General features: G+C 47.2%; 1 protein-coding gene across 14 annotated transcripts in view; it reads right to left on the bottom strand.

Moving 5' to 3' along the window:
- Positions 1–22532, bottom strand: part of MYO18B (myosin XVIIIB) — a 321660-nt gene that overhangs the window by 243683 nt on the left and 55445 nt on the right. For 13 of the 14 annotated variants that reach the window (XM_011530461.3, XM_011530458.3, XM_017029014.2 and 10 more), the window contains one exon: positions 22068–22212. The exons of the other annotated variant lie outside the window; for it this stretch is intronic. In XM_011530461.3, coding sequence (XP_011528763.1) covers positions 22068–22212 — 145 coding nt within the window. The remainder of the gene's footprint in view (positions 1–22067; positions 22213–22532) is intronic. 14 annotated transcript variants of the gene reach the window in all.

The raw sequence follows: 22532 nt of genomic DNA, 5'->3' as shown, positions 1-22532 counted from the left end.
GTAACATGGCTAATTTTTAAAAATCCTGTCACTTTAAAAAATGATGGAGATGATGATGGTGATGATGATGGTGATGACAGTGATGATGATAGTGATGATGATGGTGATGATGGTGTGATCTAATTCACTTACCTGATTTTATTCAACATTGCGTCTTTGTTCAGCTCATGACTTTTACAGTTGAAAAGCCTGGGTTATTGTTCCAGGAGTGACACATGGAAAAAGCTCAGTACTTATTAGTTGTAGTTATTTGTTATTATTGTTATTATTAAATCTTCACAAGAGTCCTAAAAAGCTCTATTATTAATCCCATTTTATAGATTAAAAATCTAATTGAGAGAAGTCACCAGAAAACAGGCTGATACTAAGTGGAAGAACTACATTTTCACCAAAATCAGTCCTTCAAATATCATCTTTTTTGCCATATCTTTGTGACTCTACTTTTAAATGGACTCACTTTTCATCTTCACTTAAATACACTGTAAACAGAAATATTATCACACTATGTTAAATGAGAATTCATTATCACCTGCCACAAATAGAAAGTAGAAACAAATATTACACAAGCACAATAATGTCATTAGATTCTAATTAAATACTGTTACCTGTGAGCCTGAAATCTGCTCTCTCTTTGTTAAGAAGCAAATATTAGAGAGAGGCATTAAAGGCTATTAGCACTGAATGAGACTTTCTTCTTCCTGTGCTGGGGATTGAGAGTGAACTAAATAGGAGATGTCTTTCTAGGTAGGTGAGGTCCTGTCCCCTCCTCTTGCTCTACTCCATGCCTGCTCTCTAAACACTTGCAACTGTTTCTGGCCTCAACGAGCTGGGAGAAGTCATAAAGGAAATTGGCAATTGATATTTCTGAAAAGAAGAGTGGTTAATGGATGCTGGCTGGACTCTCTAAATCCTGCCTGACCTAGGGGGGATATTTGCAGGTGCAGCTGAGATGCATGCTGCTGGTGCAATCCAGGTGGGCACACAGGGAGCTTTGCCAGGAAAAGCATCTTCTACTATCAGCTCCCCGAAGGCTGGCCGGTGCACAAAATCCAATCCCATGGATTCTTCTATCTTTGCTTGGACATGGGTAGTGACCAAAGTCTCTTCCCAGGGGAGGTCAAGAACCCTGAGTTGGCACCTGAGGCAGGGAGAAAAGGAACTGGGCAATAACATGGGTGTTGGCCCAAACTGGATCTGGGTCCAATTCCTGTTTCTGCTATTCCCAGTTTGTCGCACAAAGCCAGGTACACGGCCTTTTTGAGACTCAGTTTGTCTGTGAAACGGAATCTTAAAACCCCCAACACCTCTTCATAGGGTTGCAAGAAGGAGATGAGATGGTTACATGTGAGATACCCAGCAGAGTGCCTGGCCCAGAAAAGGTGCTCAAAAAATTGCAATTCCCTTCTCCACCTGCAAAACCAAGGAGGGTACCCTTCAGCCCAGAAGGGATTATCCTGTCCTGCTGGCTGCAGAGACTTCCCCTGCAGGTTCTTGTCTATTCACTGCTTTTTAAAGAGGCCATGTGGAATGGATAATGGATTGGTGCACTTGGGATGTGGGTCACACCCCAGAGCTTCTGAGTCAGCTGAGGTCACTTCTTCTCAAGCCATCGAGTGTTGAGCATAGCCTATGTGCCAGGCACTGAGCTAAAGGCTTTCCATGCCTCATCTCACCAAAACCCTCTGAGGCAGTGCACAAATGCAGAACAGACCCAGTAAAGTCAAAATTCTTGTGCAAAGAGGTACAAGATGTGATTTCTGCCCGGCTGTGGCTGATCTCAGGCTCCATGCTCAAGGAACCATCCATGTAGACCATCAGCTCTTTGCAAAGCCACAGCAAGGGAAGATGGGATACAAGATAAAACCAAAGTGAGAGAGGCAGAGAGACACAAAGAGGGAGAGGCAGAGAGAGAGAAACAGAGAGAAAGGACAGAAATTATTCCTCAAAGGGAACTCCCCATTGGGGGAAGTGGATTTTCCCCTGCCCCCAGCCCACTCCAGAGGGGATCACACACTCTATCCAGGTACTTTTCTCTCCACCCACCAGGAGGCAAGGAGATTAGGAGACAAGGAAATCCCAAAGCTAAGTGCAGAGATCATTTCTGGTCTGTGCTTTTGGTTGTCAGCCATTTTTCGGGTTGCTAGGGAGAAACAGGTCCCCATGGCAGATGGGCCCACAGTTCCTGCCTTCCTACCCCATTTCCCTTCCTCACTGCCCTCCTGGAGAATGGGTGTGAAGCAGGGCAGAGTGGCCGGCCACACAGGTGGGGATCAGAGTTCCCCAAAGGTGCACCTTGTAGTGGTTGTTCTATGGAATGGTCATCAGTATCACTGGGAAATAAATGAATATTGTATCATATCAATTTGGTCATTGCTTGGTTAAATAAGTTTCTTAACTGCAGGACTTCTCAGAGCCTTTAAAGTATATCTTATGAATCTGTAAGAAGGAGAAATTCTGTTCAGACTTAGTTGGCCTCAGAATGCATTTACAGAATCTCTTGCGGATCTAATGATCCATGAGACAGTGGTTTTGGAAAGAGTGATTTAGCTGAAAGAGTAGTTACCTAACCAGGTGACCCCAGGCAAACTGCCTCACCTGAGCCATTTGTCAGGTCACTCCTTTGGTAAGAGGCAGGCTGGGATTTGAATTGAGAGAACAAACAAAAGAGAAATGAGAGAAAAAGAAGAAAGAGGAAAGGGAAGGGGAAGGGAAGGGGAAAGAGAAAGGGAAAGGAAAGGGAAAGAAAAGAGGGAGGGAGGAAGGAAGGAAGGGAGGGAGGGAGGGAGGGAGAAGGAAGGAGAGAGAGAGAAAGAAAGAAAGAGAGAAAAGAAAAAGAAAAGAAAAGAAGGAGGGAAAGAAAGAGAGAGAAAGAGACAGAAAGAGAGACAAAGAGAAGAAAAAGAAAAAGAAGAAAGAAAGAGAGAGAAAGAGAGAAAGAACGAAAGAAAGAAAGAAAGAAAGAAAAAGGGAGGAAGGGAGGAAAAGGAACAAGGGAAAGTAATGAAACTGCCGTTTCTGAGTTGCTCAAATCCACCTGCAAAGGCAGGTTTTTCCCTTTATGTCGATACAAAATGAGAGCGAGAGAGAGAAATAACATAGCTGTTTTTCCCCACCCACTATGAGTTCAATTGCTATCAATTACTGTGGCCTCCTGCATTTATTAATAACCAAGTTATTTCTCCTTCCAACAATAGCTGTGCTGTTGCTGAATTACTCAACATTATGTGACTTCTTTATAATCTTGCTGCATCTGGTTCACTTTTCCTCACACAGAGGTTTACAATTCGGAGGCCTGTGAGGAAGGAGGCTGCCTGTAGAGAAGAGATAAGTCTAAAAGGCTGTAGCTGCTACAGGAAAAGGCAATGTTCTGGAGACAGACTGCCTCAGTTCAAATCCCACCTCCACTGCTTACAGCCGCGTGATGTTGGCAAAGTCATGTCAACACTTTGAGCCTCAGTCTCCTCCTCTGTAAAATGGGAATGACGAACAGAATTCACTCCATGGAGTGCTTGTGAAGAACGAATGAGGTTATATCATTCTAAGCAAACTATCGCAAGGACAGAAAACCAAACACCACATGTTCTCACTCATAGGTGGGAGATGAACAATGAGAACACATTGACACAGGGCGGGGAACACAACACATTGGGGCCTGTCTGGGGGTGGGGGGCTGGGGGAGGGATAGCAGTAGGAGAAACCTAATGTAAATGACAAGTCGATGTGTGCAGCAAACCAATGTGGAACATGTATACCTATGTAACAAACCTGCACATTGGGCACCTGTACCCTAGAACTTAAAGTATAATAATAAATAAAAGAAGAATGAATGAGGTTATACGGGCAGGATGCATAACAGGCAACCTGCTCAGTAAATGTCAACTCTATTATGATCCCACTCAGAGATTTCCTCCCTTAAAAATGACAAATGGGTCAGAAAGAGAAACCCCGGGAGAAAATCCAATTCAGGCAGCTGTGGCTTTCTGCCCAGGGACAACCAGAAAAGTTCTATTTTTGAGAACATGGAAAATGTAACCTTCTCATTCTTAGAGGCTAGAACTTCAAATCCATTCCTGTTTCTTAGGGCTCCTTCCAGGTCCTGCTGCCCTCAGGTGCCATGCAGCCCCACAAACCTGGACATATTGTTCCACCTGACTGGGTTTGGAGAAAGTTGTCCAAAGGCCTGGCCGATGTGCCATCTATAAATTGATGCTGAGTTATGCATAATCCAACATGAATCATTGCCCGAACCTTAACAACTGAGAACACAGCACACAAACCATTCCCAGTGTTCTGGGGACTATGAGCAGGTGTTTGGGGGAAAAGAAGGCTTTATGGACAAATCAGTTGGAGCAACATCAAACTAAACTCAGCAAAACAGGTTTCCCTCTTGCAGGACTTGTCAGAACCTTGAATATGCCAACATGTATGCGGAATTTACAAGAGGAAGGGAGCCTGTTGAGGGGGTGGGGTGTCTCTCAAACTAATTTGATCAAGAAGCTGGAGGAGAAAGATGGATAAGGAGGCATCTTTGAGGTGGTGGGAATTGTGGAAAGAACTGGAAGCTGATTGTCCAAAGATAATTTCAACCTGGCTGCAAGATCTCAAGTAGGAGATATCAGCTCTCTGAGCCTCAGTTGCCTTATCTGTAAAATGGGGTAGCTCCTCTCCCATCTGGTTGTTTTAAGAATGAAATAAGACATTGAATGTGTCAAGCTACCTAGGAGTGTGTCCCAGAGCAGGTGACCCAACCTGAGGAGCAGAGTTGTCAGGGAGACCTTGGCTGGAAGATGTCACATGGGGCACCTGCAGGGGCAAAGGCTCAAAGAATGGACCAGCTGCAAGTCTATGCACGACTTGCCTGAGATCACTCAGCTAGCAAGGTAGAGTCCAGGACCAAGCCCAGATCTAGATGGTCCCCTCTAATGCTCTTTCCACATTCACATGCCCCTCGCCAAGGCAGGCTGAGCAGGGGCCATTCAATCTATCAAACTGTCCCCTTTAAAGCTATTTCCTGGGTCCAAGGGAAGCCCAAGAGTAGCTGGCATTTTCTGAGTACTCACCATGCGTCTGAGCCTGTGCTAAGCACATAATCTCATCAATGCAACAACCATACAAAAAGGCATGATTATGAATTCCATTTATTGGTATGAACCCTGCAATTCAGTGATGTAAAGAATAAGGGTGTAGGATTTAAAGACAGAACCTCTTGGTCCCAGATTGGGCTCTTCCCCTCCCTATGTCCATGACCTTAGGTAACTTACTTTACTTCTCTGAGCCTTCACTTACTCATCCATAAAATGGGTATAATCTACCACAGAGTTATGAGGATTAAATGGAATAATCCATACAAAGCACTTAAATCATGTCTGGCAGAAGATGAATTCTGAGTAAATATTAACAATTCATTCCATCATCATCGCCACTGTCATTGTTATTGCTAGTATTGTTATGCTTTGTCTCTGAATGATGAGTCCAGAACTCATACATATTGGAGTTCTCACTGAGCCATCACTATCTCCCTTCCAAAAAGGGGTGAATAGGGTATCTGGTAATCAAGGAAAAAGGGACCCTGGAGAGCACCTAGTCCACCCCATTTGGCAAGTTCTTTCTCCCCTCTGAGCCTCAGTTTCTTCATCTGTAAAATAAGATAATAGCATCTACTCCATGAGATTGTTGAAGTAGCCAAAGCTCTTAGAATAGTGTCTGGATCCAAGCTACCTGGGAGGCTGAGACAGGAGAATCACCTGTACCTGGGAGGCAGAGGTTGCAGAGGGCCGAGATCGTGCCATTGCACTTCAGCCTGGCAACAAGAGTGAAACTCTGTCTCAAAAAAAAAAAAAAAAAAAAAAAAAAAAAAAAAAAAAAAAAAAGAACGGTGCCTGGGAGCATGGCAAGCACTGATTAAATGTGAGCTACTGTTATTATTTAGGAGAGACAGAGACCCAAAAGAAGGGTAGGAACTTTCACAGAGCCACTCAACAAGTGAGTGGCTCAACCAGTCTGAAATCAGGGTCCCGCAGGTGTCCTAATCTCCTCACTCCACCTTCCCAAGGTGTGGGACTACCAGTGAGCTCCGTCTTCCAGCATCGCCACTTCTGAGCATGTATTTTTAAAAAATATTTAATTGTTTACATCCCAAGCAGCATTCCAGCTTTATGAATAAATTCTACATGCTCAGAAAATGCAGAATAAATCCCTGCCTGCAGCCCAGAATAGACCTGGTTGCAGTAGCTGTCAGGTTGAGAGCCAAGTCACCAGCTGGGGCAGGGAGGAGGATGCAGGGTCTGCAGCCGTGGGAAGGCATTTGGGCAGAATGGGGCAGAGGAGGTGACAGGCCTCGAGGGTACTGGGTCCAAGGATGGATCAATGAAATCTCCAGGATGCTAGGCCACATGGCAATCCTGTCTCCATTAGAGCCCTTAGGTTCACAGCACCAGTGCAGGGGCCCTTAGGCTGATGCTTTATGAACAGGAAGACAGAGGCCCTAGGCCTTGCATTGAGAAGGAGGACCCTGAACCTGCTCCATGCTGAATCAAGCCACTGTGTCTTTGCCATTCAGGTTCCTCTGCCTAGAGCACGCTCCTTAATTTATTCTGTTTTCAAGATTCAGTTCAAGGGTCTCTGCCTCTAGAAACCCTTGAGTGGAGCTGACCACCCTCAACTTTGGTTGTCTCCTGCCCAGAATTCTTGCCCCCAGCATCATCCACCATCCAAGATAGCCTGGGTTTATCTTTCTTAATTCCACTGAAATTTCATCTTGGAAGGTGAGGGCTTATCATCCAATAGGCACAGAGGAGAAGAAAAGAAGGGAGAGGGACAGGGTGCGGTGGCTCATGCCTGTAATCCCAGCTACTTGGGAGGCTGAGGCAGGAGAATCGCTTGAACCCAGGAGGTGGAGGTTGCGGTGAGCTGAGACTGCACCATTGCACTCCAGCCTGGGCAACAAGAGCGAAACTCCGTCTCAAAAAAAAAAAAAAAAAGGAAGAAGAAGAGGAAGAAGAGGAGGAGAAGGAAGAAGGAGGAGGAGGAGGGAGAGGGAAGGGAGAAGTGGAGGAAAGAGGAGAATAGAAGAGGGAAGAGGGGAGGGGAGAGAAAGAAGGAAGGGAAGAGAAAAGAGAGAAGGAGATGAGAAAGAAGGAAAGGAGGAGGGAAGAGAAGGATGAAGAGAGGTGGGAGGAAAGGAGAGAAGGAAGAGAAAGAGGAGAAAGGAGGGAAGGAGGGACAGAGTCAAACAAGATCAACAGAACACTGGCTCAGGAGTCAGGTGACCATGATTCGAGTCCCCTGTAGCCTCATTGGGTGACCCTGAGAAAGTCTCTTCCCTTCTCTGAGCCTTGGTCCCTGCCCTGTTCAAAGAGCGGCTTAGGCTGACTGCAGTCCAAGTCCCTTTCCAGCCCTTGGACTCTCCACCCATCAGGGATGCTCTTAGGGCCAAGTGGGCAAGTGACTCCTTGGCTCTTTCAACCATGCAGAGAGATCTCTATGGGAACTGGCAGAGCCCTGGCAAGTTGAGGCCATGGGAGGCTGAACTTGCTTGTCCAAGGCCCTCTGCACAGAGAAGCCACCCAGGCCCAGCCCTGCAGCTCTCCCGCTTCTCCTGACTCCACCACTCTTCACACCCTTTAATTCAGAGCTTGAAGAATTGAAGAAAGCTGTCCCAGCCAGCTGGGTCCCAGATACCAACTCTAATCAGCACCCTCAGGAAAAATGTAGGGGAAGTAAATGTACTCTGGGCTTGGAGCACCTCATTACAGGGTGAAGCTCACCTCATTAAGGGGTGGAAGCAGCTGGGATGGAGGTGGAGAAGGAAGGGAGAAGCCTCTCAGAATTGGAGGAGAGCCAAGCAGAGTTATGAGCTGCAGTCAGAAGCCACCAGATGGGCACCTGGTCGGGCTCTTCTGAGCCCCGCATTCTTCACCTAAGAAAATAGATGTGAGCCCAGAGATGCAGACAGGCCAGGCCTGTCTTGGAGGAGAGGACAGAGGTAGCATCCTTAAAGTGGAAAGAGCAAGTCCCTTTAAAAATGCCAAGCCTTCCTTGGACCCCCAATGACACAGTGCATGGCAGACAGAGAGTCCAGCTTTGTGCCACTTGGGACTGTGTGACCCTGAATTAGTGGCTGCACCTCTCTGAGCCTCAGCTTCCCCACCTACAGATGGAAATGATAACCTCATAGTATTTACCCCATAGATTTGTGAGGGCTAAATGAGTCAACCTGTCCGTGTTAACATCCAGGGAGGTGAATTGGGTGGGTTCATTGAAATGTTGAACACTGGACACACCCTTGACCTAACAGTTCCCCTGCCAGGAAACCATGCCTCCAAAATGCGCACAACTGTCTGTACACAAGGATGTTCAGTGTGCTGTTATTTATAATACCAAAATGGCAAGAAACAACCTGAATGCTCATGAACAGAACTGTCATATACACAGAGGTCCATTCATTCTGGACAGTCCCCTGCAGCTGACGAAGAGAATCAGGAATATCACTATGAAGCAATGTGGAAAGAGGCCCAAGGCAAGATATGACATGTGAAAAAAGCAAAGGGCATAGAACAAAGGTGGTGTGAACCCACTGGCATAAAAAGCAATAACCAACCACTTAATCCACATATGTGTTAAATGCATAGATGTAGTTAAATGCTCAGTTTTGAGGCCTGAAGATACGGCTGCTTGGATTACAGTAATGCACCGCTGTCGATGTCCTGGTTTCAATATGTACTGCGGCTATGCATGACGCCCTCACTGGGGGCTGCTGGGAAAGGTTTCATGGAATGTTATGTGTGATTTTTACAATTTCCTGGGATTGCATAATTATTTCAAATCAAAAGTTTAAGAAAAAAGCCTGGCGCGGTGGCTCATGCCTGTAATCCCAGCATTTTGGGAGACCGAAGTGGGAGGATTACCTGAGGTCAGGAGTTCAAGACCAACCTGACCAACATGGTGAAACCACATCTCTACTAAAACTACAAAAAAAAAAAAAAATAGCCGGGCACAGTGGCGGCCACCTGTAATCCCAGCCACTCGGGAGGCTGAGGCAGGAGAATCCCTTGAACCCGGGAGGCAGAGGTTGCAGTGAGCCGAGATCACACCACTGCACTCCAGCCTGGGCAACACAGCGAGACTCAGTCTCACAAAAGAAAAAAAAAAGTTTAAGAAAAAAACAAAACTAGCCAGTTTAGGGTAGTGAAATTATCCTGTATGATACTAACAACGGATATATGACATTATATAATTGTCAAAACCCATCAAGGAACACAACAGAAAGAGTATAGATGGACCTTTGCTGCTAATAGAGTATCAGTATTGGTTCATCACAAGATATCAGTAATAGGGAGAGCTGTGGGGACAGGGAGAAGCGGTATGTAGGAATTTTGTACTTTCTGTTCAATTGTTCTGTAAATCTAAAATGCTTTCAGAATTAAAGTCGGCCAAGCACGGTGGGTCACACCTGTAATCCCAGCACTTTGGGAGACTGAGGCGGGATGATCACTGGAGGCCAGGAATTTGAGACCAACCTGAGCAACATAGTAAAACCCTGTTTCTACAAATAAATAAATAAAAATTAGCTGGGATGGTGGCGCACACCTGTAATCCCAGCTACTCAGGAGGCTGAGGTAGGAGAATCGCTTGAAACTGGGAGGCAGAGGTCGCAGTGAGCCGAGATCACGTCACTGCACTCCACCCTGGGTGACACAGAGAGACACCATCTCAAAAAAAAAAAAAAAAAATTATAGCCTATTAAAAAAAAAAAAAAGCCTGAAGGAGGACAGGCACAGTGGCTCACACCTGTAATCCCAGCACTTTGGGAGGCTGAGGCAGGCGGATCACGAGGTCAGGAGCTCGAGACCATCCTGGCTAACACAGTGAAACCCCATCTCTACTAAAAATACAAAAAAAACATCTGGGCATGGTGGTGGGCGCCTGTAGTCCCAGCTACTTGGGAGGCTGAGGCAGGAGAATGGCATGAACCCGGGAGGCGGAGCTTGCAGTGAGCCGAGATGGTGCCACTGCATTCCAGCCTGGGCAACAGAGCAAGACTCTGTCTCAAAAAAAAAAAAAAAAAGCCTGAAGGAAGGGTATACCCCAAACTGTTCACAGTGGTCACCTTTCATAGCAATGGGATTTGGCACTGGGGTGTGAGGAAAGACCTTTTTTTTTTTTTTAAACTTTCTATTCTTCTGGACTATTTCCATTTTTTATAGACATACAACATTGACGTATTCCTCATATGATTGCTTTAAAATAAGACTGGTAAAACACTTCCCAAAGCTCTTGAATATATGGTCATTGTGTTATGTTAACAGTCCCTCTGTTACTATCACTGACCATCTACACTCAGGTCTTACCACAGCTTGAAGAGCATCCAGCCACTTCTTCCTACCCCTGGATGGACCGTCCTTGCTACTGGTGTCGGGGTATCCCAGTTCTGTGTGGGACTGGGCCCTTGTCATTATTGATATTGTCTCTCCTCCCCATGAGCACCTCCTGGCTCCCTGAGTTACAGCCCCATCCATTCCAGCACTGATAACTTTATGATGGTAGCAGGCGGGGAGTGAGGTGCCAGCTAGATAGCAGCCTCCCTTCATAACCCCATCATGGGGCACCTCGCTGGGATATATTTGGTTCTGACTGCGTCGTATATTAAGTAATGGGTCAGCAGCAAGTAGACTGGCAAATTTCGTGAGAGACAAATAAACTAAATAACCCATGGGCCTTCAGAGAAAAAGGAAACCAAGCAAAGCCCCCATCAAGACAAGCATTGCTCATCCTTGTCACTATTTTGAGTTCCGAACATTACTGTCATTTCTGTCAAGTGGTGAGGGACAGGAGGCAGGTGGACCAATAGTCTGATTCTCCAGGGAGATGCACATCAACTCTTACAGCTACAGGACCACAGGGATCAGAGAAGGTTAAAGACCAGCCCAGGCTGGTGGCTCACTCCTGTAATCCCAGCGCTTTGGGAGGCTGAGGTGGGTGGATCATGAGGTCAGGAGTTCAAGACCAGACTGGCCAAGAGATGGTGAAACCCCATCTCTACTAAAAATACAAAAATTAGCTGGGTGTGGTGGCAGGTACCTGTAATCCCAGCTACTCGGGAGGCTAAGGCAGAGAATTTCTTGAACCCAGGAGGCGGAGGTTGCTGTAAGCCAAGATTGCACCACTGCACTCCAGCCTGGGTGACAGAGCAAGACTCTGTCTCAAAAAAAACCGCCCAGGTCAGCCTCTTCTAAAAGTTGCTGGGGAAAACTCTCCTGGGCCCTGGACTGATTTTTCGTTAATAACAATAATGCCAATGATAGCAATGACACAGCTTTAAATACTCAAGTTCAATAATGTCAGCCTCACAAGAACCCTAGGAGGCAGGCACTCTGATTATCCCCACTTTACAGATGAGGACATTGAGTCTCACAGGTCAAAGGAGTCACCTGGACCATGCAGGAGAAACAGGGTTGAACACTGGTCAGCCTGGTTCCAGACCCCATGCCTTTAGCCCCGAGTCTGAGCTCTCCTCAATTCTGCTTAGAGGGACAACCTTCCAAATTGGGGACTGGATGGAGATTAGATGGAGCTGAGGAGGCGCTCTCAGGAGAGAGGGTGGAGATCCTAGCACCCAGAATGTACCCACCAGCTTGGCCAGCTGGGTGGCCTTGTAGTGGAGAAGAGCAAGAACTTTGGAGGCAGACAGGTACTGAGTTCTGACCTTGGCCCCATCACATGCTGCTGTTTGACTTTGACAAAGATTGCAAGATCCTGAGACTCAGCATCTTGGACCACAAAAATGGTGACTCCTTCCCTACCTGTCAGGGTTGCTGTGAGAATTAAAAGTGAGAATTTATGCAAAGTGATCCCCAGCCTGGGGCTGAGGTGGAGAACAGGGAAAACTTGGAGAGGATTTTAACAGAGGTCATTCCTGGGAAGAGGATTGTGTCTGATTTTAATCTCATACAAGAAAAGAGGCCCCAAGACAGAGAAATCGTATCTTGCTGCAAAGAGGACATAGAGTTCATCCTTGATTTACTCTTCTGTAGGAAGAAGGTCTTTTGGGGGTCTCAGAGAATGGTCGGGGGCACTGGTAATAAAACAGAGAGCAAAAGTCTCAGGAGCCATTCCATCCCCACCACAGTAGGGACCGGGATGCATTGGCTATGGAAACTTTGCAACATTATGATTTTTAAAATCTAACTCTTACTTACATGCCTGGCACTGTACCCCAAAGCTCTTGGCAAACAGCATCTCAGTTCATCTGCAAAACAGACCTGTGAGGCTCAGAAAACTGAGCCTCAGTTTTCTGAGCCTCAGAAAGCTTAAGTTACTTGCTCAAGGCCACTATGGCAAGATATGGCCACGCCAATAGCTCCCATCCTATACGTCCTAGAATCTTGCTGCTCCTTCATCTAGGGGTGGAATTTGGTTTCGCTCATCCTTGAAATTGTGACACGATTCTTACCAACAGAACATGGCAGAAGTGTTGCCACTCAGAAAAGGTGATGCACCTTCCATCTTGCTTCCTGGAAACTTGCACTTGGAGTCCTGAAGCCACCATGCCATAAGGAAGCCCAACTAGCCCACAGGGAGAGACCTGAGACCACATGAAGCCTGGGAAATGGGCTATTCCAGCCTTCCTACGCTTCATCAGCCACCAGTTGACTGCAGCCACATGAGAGACCCCAAGCCAAAACCTCCCAGTTGAGCCCTTCCAAAGTACAGATACACAGAAGCCTTGGGAAATAATAAAGTGATTGTTCAAGCCATGGGCTTTGGGGCTGATTCCTTCAGCAGCACTGTAACAGAACAGCCACAAAGCCAGCCAGTGCTGGAATTCTTACTTCAATCTGAGTCCAGATCTGTGTCACTCTAGACTGTGCTCTAACCACTGCCCTACACTACCCTTGGCCTCTCGGGCCTTCTGCTAAGCTGTGTAAAGAGCACTGAGCTGAGAGTCTAGAACTGGATTCTGGTTCTGAACTTGCTGTTCTCTAGCACAGAAGTTTCATTTTATGACTTTAGGTGAGGAGCCACACCTCTGAGAGGTGCAAGTTCTTCACTCACCAAATGGGTTTAACAACCCTCACCAAGCCCATCTCAGAGGCAGGCTTTAATGCCAACAGAAAGAAATGACAACCAAAATGCTTTGCAAAGAAAAGAGAGTTACTGCTTACTGAATACCTCGTATGTGCCAAGTACTAAACATTTATTATCTGACTGTACAATGATTGTAGAAGGTAGGTGGAGTTATTATCAGACAAGAAAACTGAGGTCCAACGAGATGAAAAGTCACTGACACAGGGTGAATCACACTGCCAGGAGATCAGGGAGCCTGGACTCAAATGCTTCTCTGTCCAGTTCTGGGAAGCCAGCTCTCCCCTCCTCCCTACTCTCTCTTTACCAAGTTTAGCTCCAGAGAGCATCCATTGCCTGCCATTCGAAATACACAAGCACCAGCTAATGGTTCCACAGGCCACTTTTTGCCAAAGGAGAGAAGCATGAGCTTGGATGAATTGTTGTCTAATGGACCTGGAGTGATGGCTTGAGCCATGAGCCTTGGCGAACAGCAAATCAACCACGATGTCAAATCACCTGGTGTTTTCTGCCTGCCATGTGGTGCCAGCCCTCAGAGCCCCCTCCCGCTGCCTTCCCCAGGAACCCATCAGTGATGGCAAGCCAGAGAGACAGAAAGGAAGTGTGGATACTATGCAGGCAGAGGGAGGGATGCAGTCTCATTGCCACCACAAGAGCAGGCTTCTAAGATCCAAAGGCCAGCTGTGCCCAGCCTCTCGAGACAAATCTGTAATAAACTGACTAAGCCCAGGAGCCACCTGTCCTGTGATGGGAGGTGTCCTAGAGTCAGGGCAAGAGGGGATGCCCACAGTAGCCGAGTGGTTGTCGTTCAGTGCCCTTGTCTGTCTGTCCTCCTGCATGGTCCCTCTCCTTCACCTGCCAATGTGATTAAGTGCACAACCCCTTCACATCCCTCATCGCACCTCCATTCCAGGGCAACCTCTCCCTCCTTTGAGAGTTGCCAAGAAGTCACATGGCTCAGTAAATACCTATTGAGCACATACTATGTACCAGGCCCTGTGCTAGGCCCTGGGGATGCAACGATGAGCAGAATCAGACAAGACCTCTGTACTCACAGAGCTACAGCCCAGCATGGGAGACAGACATTAATCCAATAATCAATCGTCCCACATGAAAAATAAATAAAGGTGGCCAGGGAATGCCTGGAGCATACAGAGCAGGAAAACCAGACCTTGCTCAGGGCCAGGGAAGGCTTGTGGGGGCAGTGACTTTCGAATCAAGAGCTGAGGGGTTGACAAAGGGAAGTAGGGACAGCGGGAGAGGACAAGACTGCCATACCACAGCTCTTGCAGGGAATAGCAAGAGAGTCAAACTGGAAACATCCTCTGCAGCTGAGCCACAGCATCATGGGTGCAAACTGAGGCTGGAGAGGTGGGCAGGGACCAGACCAGCTGGAATTGCCCTCATACAGGGTCATCGGTAGCTCTACTGAAGTAACCCAACCAAACGTGTGAACTTGGGAGTTCCTGCTGGCTGCGGCATGAGAACAGATCGGGGTAGAAAGGATGGGGAAGAAGGGAAGCCAGGAGACTAGCTGGGAAGCCATTCCAGGCTTCCAGGACAGAGATTATGTCCAATTGGGTGACGTGATCATAAGACGAGGATCCCTGGAGAGAGCTCTAGGGCTCCCAGCTGAGGCTCCAAGAATAAATCCACAGCGATCTTGCCCTGGTCCAACCTGAGAGTCCCCAAACAGGGAACATTTGTCCTTTGACCATCCTTTTTGCATGCTGCAGTGGAAGGAAGAGGCCTTGGAGCCAGACAGACCTGAGTCCCAGTCCAAGCTCGGGTGCAGCCTCATTGTGTGCCCTGGGCAAGTGGTTTCTCCTGGAGGAGCTTCAGTTTCCTCATCTGCAGAATGCAGATGAGTTTATCTGGAGGAGCGAATGGGATGCCATGTGCTAAATCACAACGTGGGGCTGGCATGGGAAGGGTGCCTTAACATGGGGCTGCCCAGTTCCATCCCCACTGAGAGCTGGGCACAGGGAGGGCACGCTCAGAACCTGTACATGAGGAGTGAGGGAAAGGGGAGGCCATACTTGACCTCCAGACACCAGAGGAGCTGAGAGATGAGCATCTCCTTGCCCATCACAGCCATGGGCCCTTCGCTGAGCCCTCCTCAGCAGGCAAGCCCACCACACCTTTTGCGCAGCATGGACATCCTAGGTGAACCAGACAATTAGGGGTCTATGGGTGATGCCCACGGTCTTCCATCATATCCGATCTCACAGTCCTGACAGTGCCCCATCTGCCAAGGCTGTCAGGCAACATCTAATGCAAGTTCAGGAGCCTTCTCGCTGCCGGGACCTTGCCAGACAGAGCAGGGCCACCCCCTGACATCCAGGCTGAGCAAAGTACAGTTGCCCTGGACAACCAAGAAGTTTATATGGAGGGTGTCCACCTGAGCCCACCTGGCTTGTGCCAAAAGCTACCTTCCACACACAGGAGAATTGCTTAGACTTCAGGAGTGCTCTCTCACACACACACACAGAAGAAAACCTCAACTATGCTAATGTAACTAAGAAGGGTCCTGGTCCCTGTGTAAAGCCTGAGAGCCTTAGGTTCAAGCAGCTTTGTGCTCCATCACTTCCCAGCTGTGTGCCCTTGCGCACGTCACACCACCTCTCTGAGCCACAACTGCACCACACTCACCTTAAGGCATTATCTTGAATATTTCCTCAGGTCCGGTGATCTAGCAAGTAACTCAGCACAGAGACTGCTTGGGAATCATTGCTCCCCTATTCCGTGGAAGCTTGGAGATCTTTGTGGCTGCCTTAGCTTGCCTCTGAGCAACCTGGGCAGGCATGGGGACAGAGGAATGGTGTGGGCTGGGTTTTGTGTGAAAAGGGCCACTCTGGTGGCCAGGTGGAGAGACTGTATAAGGTTAAAAATCAAAATAAAGGTGAAACAAAACCCAAAATGGGATTTGTAGCTGCAGAGAAAGTGGATTTACCACGGTGAGTTTCTGGGCATGGTTGTAGCTACCTGCCAGTGTTGGCGTGTTTTTGTTTTTCTTTTTTCAAACTCACGAATACAGAAGATTCCCTCTGTGGTTTAGTCTCTATAAAATATGTGTGTGTGTGTGTGTGTGTGTGTGTGTGTGTGTGTGTGTGTTCACTGGGTCAAGAGGTAAAATGTTTCTTACCGTAAGTTGAGGTCAAAATAGTGTAAACCCCAACAAGTTCAGAGTAATTGGCTAGAAGTTTAAGAGAGGACTGGGGACACAGACCCAGAGGACTGGTTTATGTCTACCATGGGATCTGCAGGACAAACAAAACAGACACATTTCCAGAACCACAAAGCCCTGAACTAATGGCTTCCTATGAACATCGTTGCGTTTCATCACTCCTCACCCTATAGAGAAGGTATCATAGCTGTCCCCATTTTATAGATGAGAGAACTGAGGCTTAGATACGGGAAGTGACCTGTTCAAGATTACACATCCATTAAAAGGCAGAGCTGAAACTTGGCTGGAGGTGGCTGACTGCAAAGTCTAGTCTTCTTGGCATACACATACATACTTGACCCATCACAGAACCGCTCTGCCTCTGGGCTCTCCTTTACAAAATGGGCCTAATTTTACCTGTTGTGCAAGCCAGTTTGGGGCATACATTCTACTAGAATTTTCTGAGCAGTTACTATGACCCAGCTCTCAGGAAGAATAAAAGAAAAAAAAAACTGGTCCATGGGTAAACAAAATGTGGTATATCCATATGATGGAATATAATTCAGCCATAATAAAAAGGACTAAAATACTGATCCATCCTACAAAATAGATGACTCTTGCAAACACTACACCACATGAAAGCAGCTAGTCACAGCCAGGCGTGGTGGCTCACGCCTGTAATCCCAGCACTTTGGGAGGCTGAGGCAGGCGGATCACGAGGTCAGGAGATCAAGACCATCCTGGCTAATACAGTGAAACCCCGTCTCTACTAAAAATACAAAAAAAAATAGCCGGGTGTGGTGGCACATGCCTGTAGTCCCAGCTACTCGGGAGGCTGAGGCAGGAGAATGGCATGAGCCTGGGACACAGAGCTTGCAGTGAGCAGAGATCGCGCCACTGCACTCCAGCCTGGGCGACAGAGCAAGACTCTGTCTCAAAAAAAAAAAAAGAAAGAAAAAAGAAAGCAGCCAGTCATAAAAGACAACAAAGATATGCACATATTACATGATTGCATTCATGTCAAACATCCATAACAAGGAAATCTACAGACAGAAAGTAGATTCATGGTTGTTTATGGCTGGGGGAAAGCATTGCTTAGGGATGGGTGTTTAGAGGGCAATAGCTAAAGGCTATAGGGGTTTTTTTTTTTTTTTTTTTTTTTTGAGACAGAGTCTTGCTCTGTCGCCCAGGCTGGAGTGCAGCAGCGCGATCTCAGCTCACCGCAAGCTCTGCCTCCCGGGTTCACGCCATTCTCCTGCCTCAGCCTCCTGAGTAGCTGGGACCATAGGTGTCTGCCACCATGCCCGGCTAATTTTTTGTATTTTTTTTTAGTAGAGATGAGGTTTCCTGTATCAGCCAGGATGGTCTCGATCTCCTGACCTTGTGATCTGCCCGCCTCAGCCTCCCAAAGCGCTGGGATTACAGGCGTGAGCCACCGTGCCTGGCCCAGCTATAGGATTTCTTTTTAAGATGTGACAGAAGAGCTGGAGATTGAGTTAATTGCCAATAATTTGATCAATCATGCCTGCATAGAGAAACCTCCATGGAAACCCCTAAAGGATGGGGTTCAGAGAGCTTCCAACACATCAAAGTGCTGGGAGGCTGTCGGCTGTCATGCCTAGAGAGGACAGGAGTCTCTGCCCTCTCCCCATCCCTTGCCCTGTTCCTGAGTTGTATCCTTTATAATAGAGCAGTGGTTGTAAGTAAAGTGTGTTCTTGAATCCTGTGAGTCATTCTAGTGAATTATTAGACAAGAGAAGGGGGTCATGAGAACTCACTATGTAAAAGCCACTTGGCTAGAAGTATGGGAGGTCGGGTACTTGCAGCTGGCATCTGAAGTGGAGACAGTCTTGTAGGATTGAATCCTTAACCTGCAGGGTCTGTGTTAACTCTGCTAACTCAGGATAGTCTCAGAATTGAGGTGAATTGTAGGCCTGCCATAGGCAGGAACACAGGGTACTTGGGAGGTGGGAGGTAGGAGGTGTGGTCCCAGAGGCTGGTCTCAGGGCTCAGAGCTCAGGCAGACCTAAGTCCAAATCCCATCTCTAGCTTTAGCTCTATGTCCTGAGGAATATGCGTGAAACTCTCTGCTGCGCATCAGTTTCTTCCCTATAAAATGGGCATCGTAACAGTCCTCACCCCTCCCAGGCTGTTCTAAGGAGGTGGTGACATCATCGGGTCTATAAACACTCAGCACAATGGCCCCAGGAAAATGAGAATGGCCCAAACCCCACTCTGGAAGGTACTGGCTGTGTGATACCAGATCAGTGGCATACCTTCTCTGAGCCTCTGTTTGCTTGTCTATAAAATGAGACGGATGAAAATGAACCCTTATGAAACACCCCGCCAGGAGCCAAGTCCTGTGTACCACAGTTTTTGCCACTGACTCCTTCAGTTCTCACGAGAAGCCTACAAAGTGGGTACCATCATTAGCCCCATTTTACAGAGGAAGAGACTGAGGCTCAGAGAGGCTGAGCCAGGATTCATATCCAGCAGGCTGACTCCTGACTCTTGCCCATTAAGTTAGCACATACATCTAATCCAATCCAAGGGCATAATAGAGGTATAAGTGCTTTTGAAACTGTCAAACACCAGGCCAATATTAGTGGTGATTGTCATTGCTATAACAGTTCAAAAACCCTGTGTCCAGTTATAAGGCCCAAATTCTCCCCAAAGGGAACTATTATTGATTTTTAAAAACAGGATTGGGGCTCTCAGAATTAGTTAGGAAGCCAGGCACACTGAGAAGGGAGTATCATTTTAATGAAAAAAAAACCTGATTAATGAAAATGATTCTTAATATATTTCAAAATGATCTGTTATGACACAAAGCAAAGACATTTATGTACGACTTTGAAATTCTTAATAGCTGATTTTAGAGCAACCTATTATGAAATCTTTCAAAGCAGAATATATAAGTAAGTAAATCATCGGGCAGGCCTCCCAGGCAGACTGACGGCAGCTCTTCTTAAAATAATTTATAACGTGGGATAGGGGGAGGACTGGCAGAAATTATTGCCATCATCAAGTATTAGTAAAATATTTATAAAAGTGACTTTCTCTTATCATCAGATGCACTGATGTGATGGGTCAGGTCCTTGAGCCCACATCAGGGGGCGGGGGCCCCCCCACTCTGCCCCAGGAGGAGAAACTCAGGAATAAAATTGAGCTCCTACACTTCCCTGGTGACAGGCTAATAAGCCAGGGGGCTCCCCCTTAGTCTCTGGATAAATATCTCAACTTCCTTGTCTCTTGGATAGGACAACCAGGAGGCATATTCCTCAGAGTCTCCCAGGGGTCCCCAGCTGGACTGAGCCTCAGTTTCCCAGGGGTAAGCCACTCCTTCATGCACCTTATACTACCTGCCTTCCCTCTCCTGTGTCATTTTCCCATTTCCCTGCCACAGCCTTCTGGGGTCCTTCCCCAAATATGCAACATGTTCCCACATCTCTGTCTAAGGGTCTGTTTCTGACTCAGGTTGGCCTCAGTGACCAGGACGTTGAGTGAGAGACATTACAGTTCCCTGAACAAAGTAGTGGTGATGCCCAAACAGCCAAGCGCTGAGCATGGCCCACGGCTGATTTTTTTTCCAATCATTTTGGGGGTACAGGTGGTTTTTGGTCAAGTTCTTTAGTGGTGATTGATCAGATTTTAGTATACCCAACCCCCCTAGCGGTGTACACTGTACCAAATATGTAGTGTTTTATCCTTCACCCCCTCTTAACCTCCCCCTCCTGAGTCCCCAAAGTCTATTATATCATTCTTATGCCTTTGCATCCTCATAGCTTAGCTCCCACTTGTAAGTGAGAATGTATGATATTTGGTGTTCCATTCTCAAGTTACTTAGAATAATGGCCTCCAGCTCCATCCAAGTTGCTGCAAAAGACATTATTTCATCTCATCTTTATGGCTGAGTAGTATTCCATGGTGTGTGTGTATATATATATATCTCACATTTTCTTTATCCACTCATTGGTGGATGGGCACTTAGATTGGTTCCATATCTTTGCCATTGTGAATGTCCATGGATGATTTTTGGAAAAACAAGTGGCATTTGGTATTTTCATATTTGCCCCAGCCCAGCATGTCTGTCCTTGGCTTGGATCAACTGTTGAATCCCCATCTTACTTACTCCTGACTCAGTATGACTTCTACAAATTTCCAAAATCAAAACAATGGGTTAATGTATGTGGCTCAAATGGATGAGAATCAAAGGAATAGGCCACAGGGCCCGGGAATGTGGGGATGACGGAAAGGATGCACCAGCACCTTCTCGAAGATTCTACTGCCCCCGCCAAGGTAACAGCCCAGAATGTCAGCCAGAATCCATGCACAGTCCCAGGACAGACCTCAATTCACACACATGTTCATTCAATAAGCAACTTCCAGTTCTATGCTCTGGGCCCAAAGGAAGCCACCAGCCACTGATAAGAGCTAGACAAAGTCACAATCATAATACAATGCACCAAAGGCCCCATGAAGGCAGAAACCCTTGCTCTTCATCCCCACTCTCTCCCCAGAACCTTCTATATTGCCAAAAAAGGGAGCAGCTTTTGAGGTGAGGAGGTGAGGAGCTTTGAATGCCAAGCCAAGGAATTTTATTTGACTTGGAGGCAAGGGAGAGCCTCCAGAGGATTCTAAGCGGAGAATGACATTACGGGTCTATGTTGTAGAAAGGAACCTGATGGTCATGATGAGAATGGGTAGGAGGAGGAATGCAGGTATCAGCAAGGAGGCTACTGCACCTATCCAAGCACACACACACACACACACACACACACACAAACGTAAACACCGCATAAGGTGATAACAGTAAGGATAGAGAAACTAGGACAGAAATGATGTCACAGAGACTATCTCTGGAACATAGTGAATGATTGGATACGGAGAGGGTAAGAACTAGGGGGATGGCAGGAACCACTTGGAAGACCAGGTCAAAATGGGGAAAATCGCAAGCAGACACTTAAGGATGGGGACAAGGATACAAGATCAGTTTCAGGGCATGTGGCAGGGAACATCTCCAGGATGTCTAACTAGAAACACAGCACCTTGGCTGGGCACAGTGGCTCATGCCTGTAATCCCACCACTTTGGGAGGTCAAGGCAGGAAGATTGCTTGAGCCTAGGAGTTTGAGACCAGCCTGGGCAAAAAGTGAGACCCCTATCTACAAAAAAATAAAAAAATATATATTAACCAGGCATGGGGGTGCACAGCTGTAGTCCCAGCTACTCAGGAGGCTGAGGCGGGAGGATTGCTTGAGCCAAGGAGGTGGAAGCTGCAGTGAGCTATGATCGCACCACTACTGCCCTGAACAACAATGCAAGACCCTATCTCAATGAAAATTTTAAAAAGAAAAAGAAAAAAACACAGCACCTTTACTGCAGAGACCCAACCTTCCCTTGCATATTCTAGAGCTGCCCTACTGTACTGCCAGTACAGTAGCCACTGGCTACCTATGACTACTTAAATTTAAATTAAGTAGAATTAAATACAATTAAAAATTCAATTCCTCAGTCGCACTACTATATATAAGTGTTCAGTAGCAGCCTGTGGCTAGTGGTTACTGCACTGAACCGCAGTAATCTCCATCATTGCAGAAAGTTCTTGTGGACAGAGCTGGTCTAGAAGGTTTGCTTGAAAAGCCAGCCCTGTGTCCTCCTCACGACGCCTAGTTTCAGCAGCCTCCCCAAGGGAAGTCCCAGAGACATAGAAGGTGACAGATTGACCCTGTTCCCACCGCTCCGAGAGAAGGGCCTTGTCAGGCACCTGCCAAAGGAGACAGCTGCCCTCCCAGGTGAGCCCGGCAGGAAGGACGTACCTTTGCAGGCCCCCGCCGCACCCAGGTGGTAGATGGCTGCCAGGACCCGCCAAACAGCCCGCTGCTCGCTCTCTGAGATGCCGAGCATCTCCATGGCACCCTGGAGCTGGGCAAAGGCAGCTGCCGCCTTCTGTTTATCTTCAGGCTGCGGGCAAAGGGAGAGAGGAAGAAAACAAGGCCATCGCGATGGAGAAAACACAAGCTCACAACTTGAAGCTGAGCTCCGTCTCGAAGGAATGCGGGGGTCATTTTATTGCCACAATAAATTACCCACAATTAAGCTGAGGAGTACTGACAGACAAACTCAGGCGACTGGGAAAGTTATCCAAATCATTTTTCTCTGACTTTGAAATGCAGTGTGGCTTTTATTCCTTCATGTGTGCACGCATTACAGATTTATGGAAGCTCTGCTCTATGCGGGGCTCTGGTCTGGGGATGCAAAGATGAGCAAAGCCCAGACCTTGA

The sequence above is a fragment of the Homo sapiens genome, chromosome 22, assembly GCF_000001405.40.
Source record: "Homo sapiens chromosome 22, GRCh38.p14 Primary Assembly".
Classification (NCBI taxonomy): Eukaryota; Metazoa; Chordata; class Mammalia; order Primates; family Hominidae; genus Homo; species Homo sapiens.
Note: the sequence above shows the minus strand (reverse complement) of the source record. Positions and strands in the feature narration are given on the sequence as shown.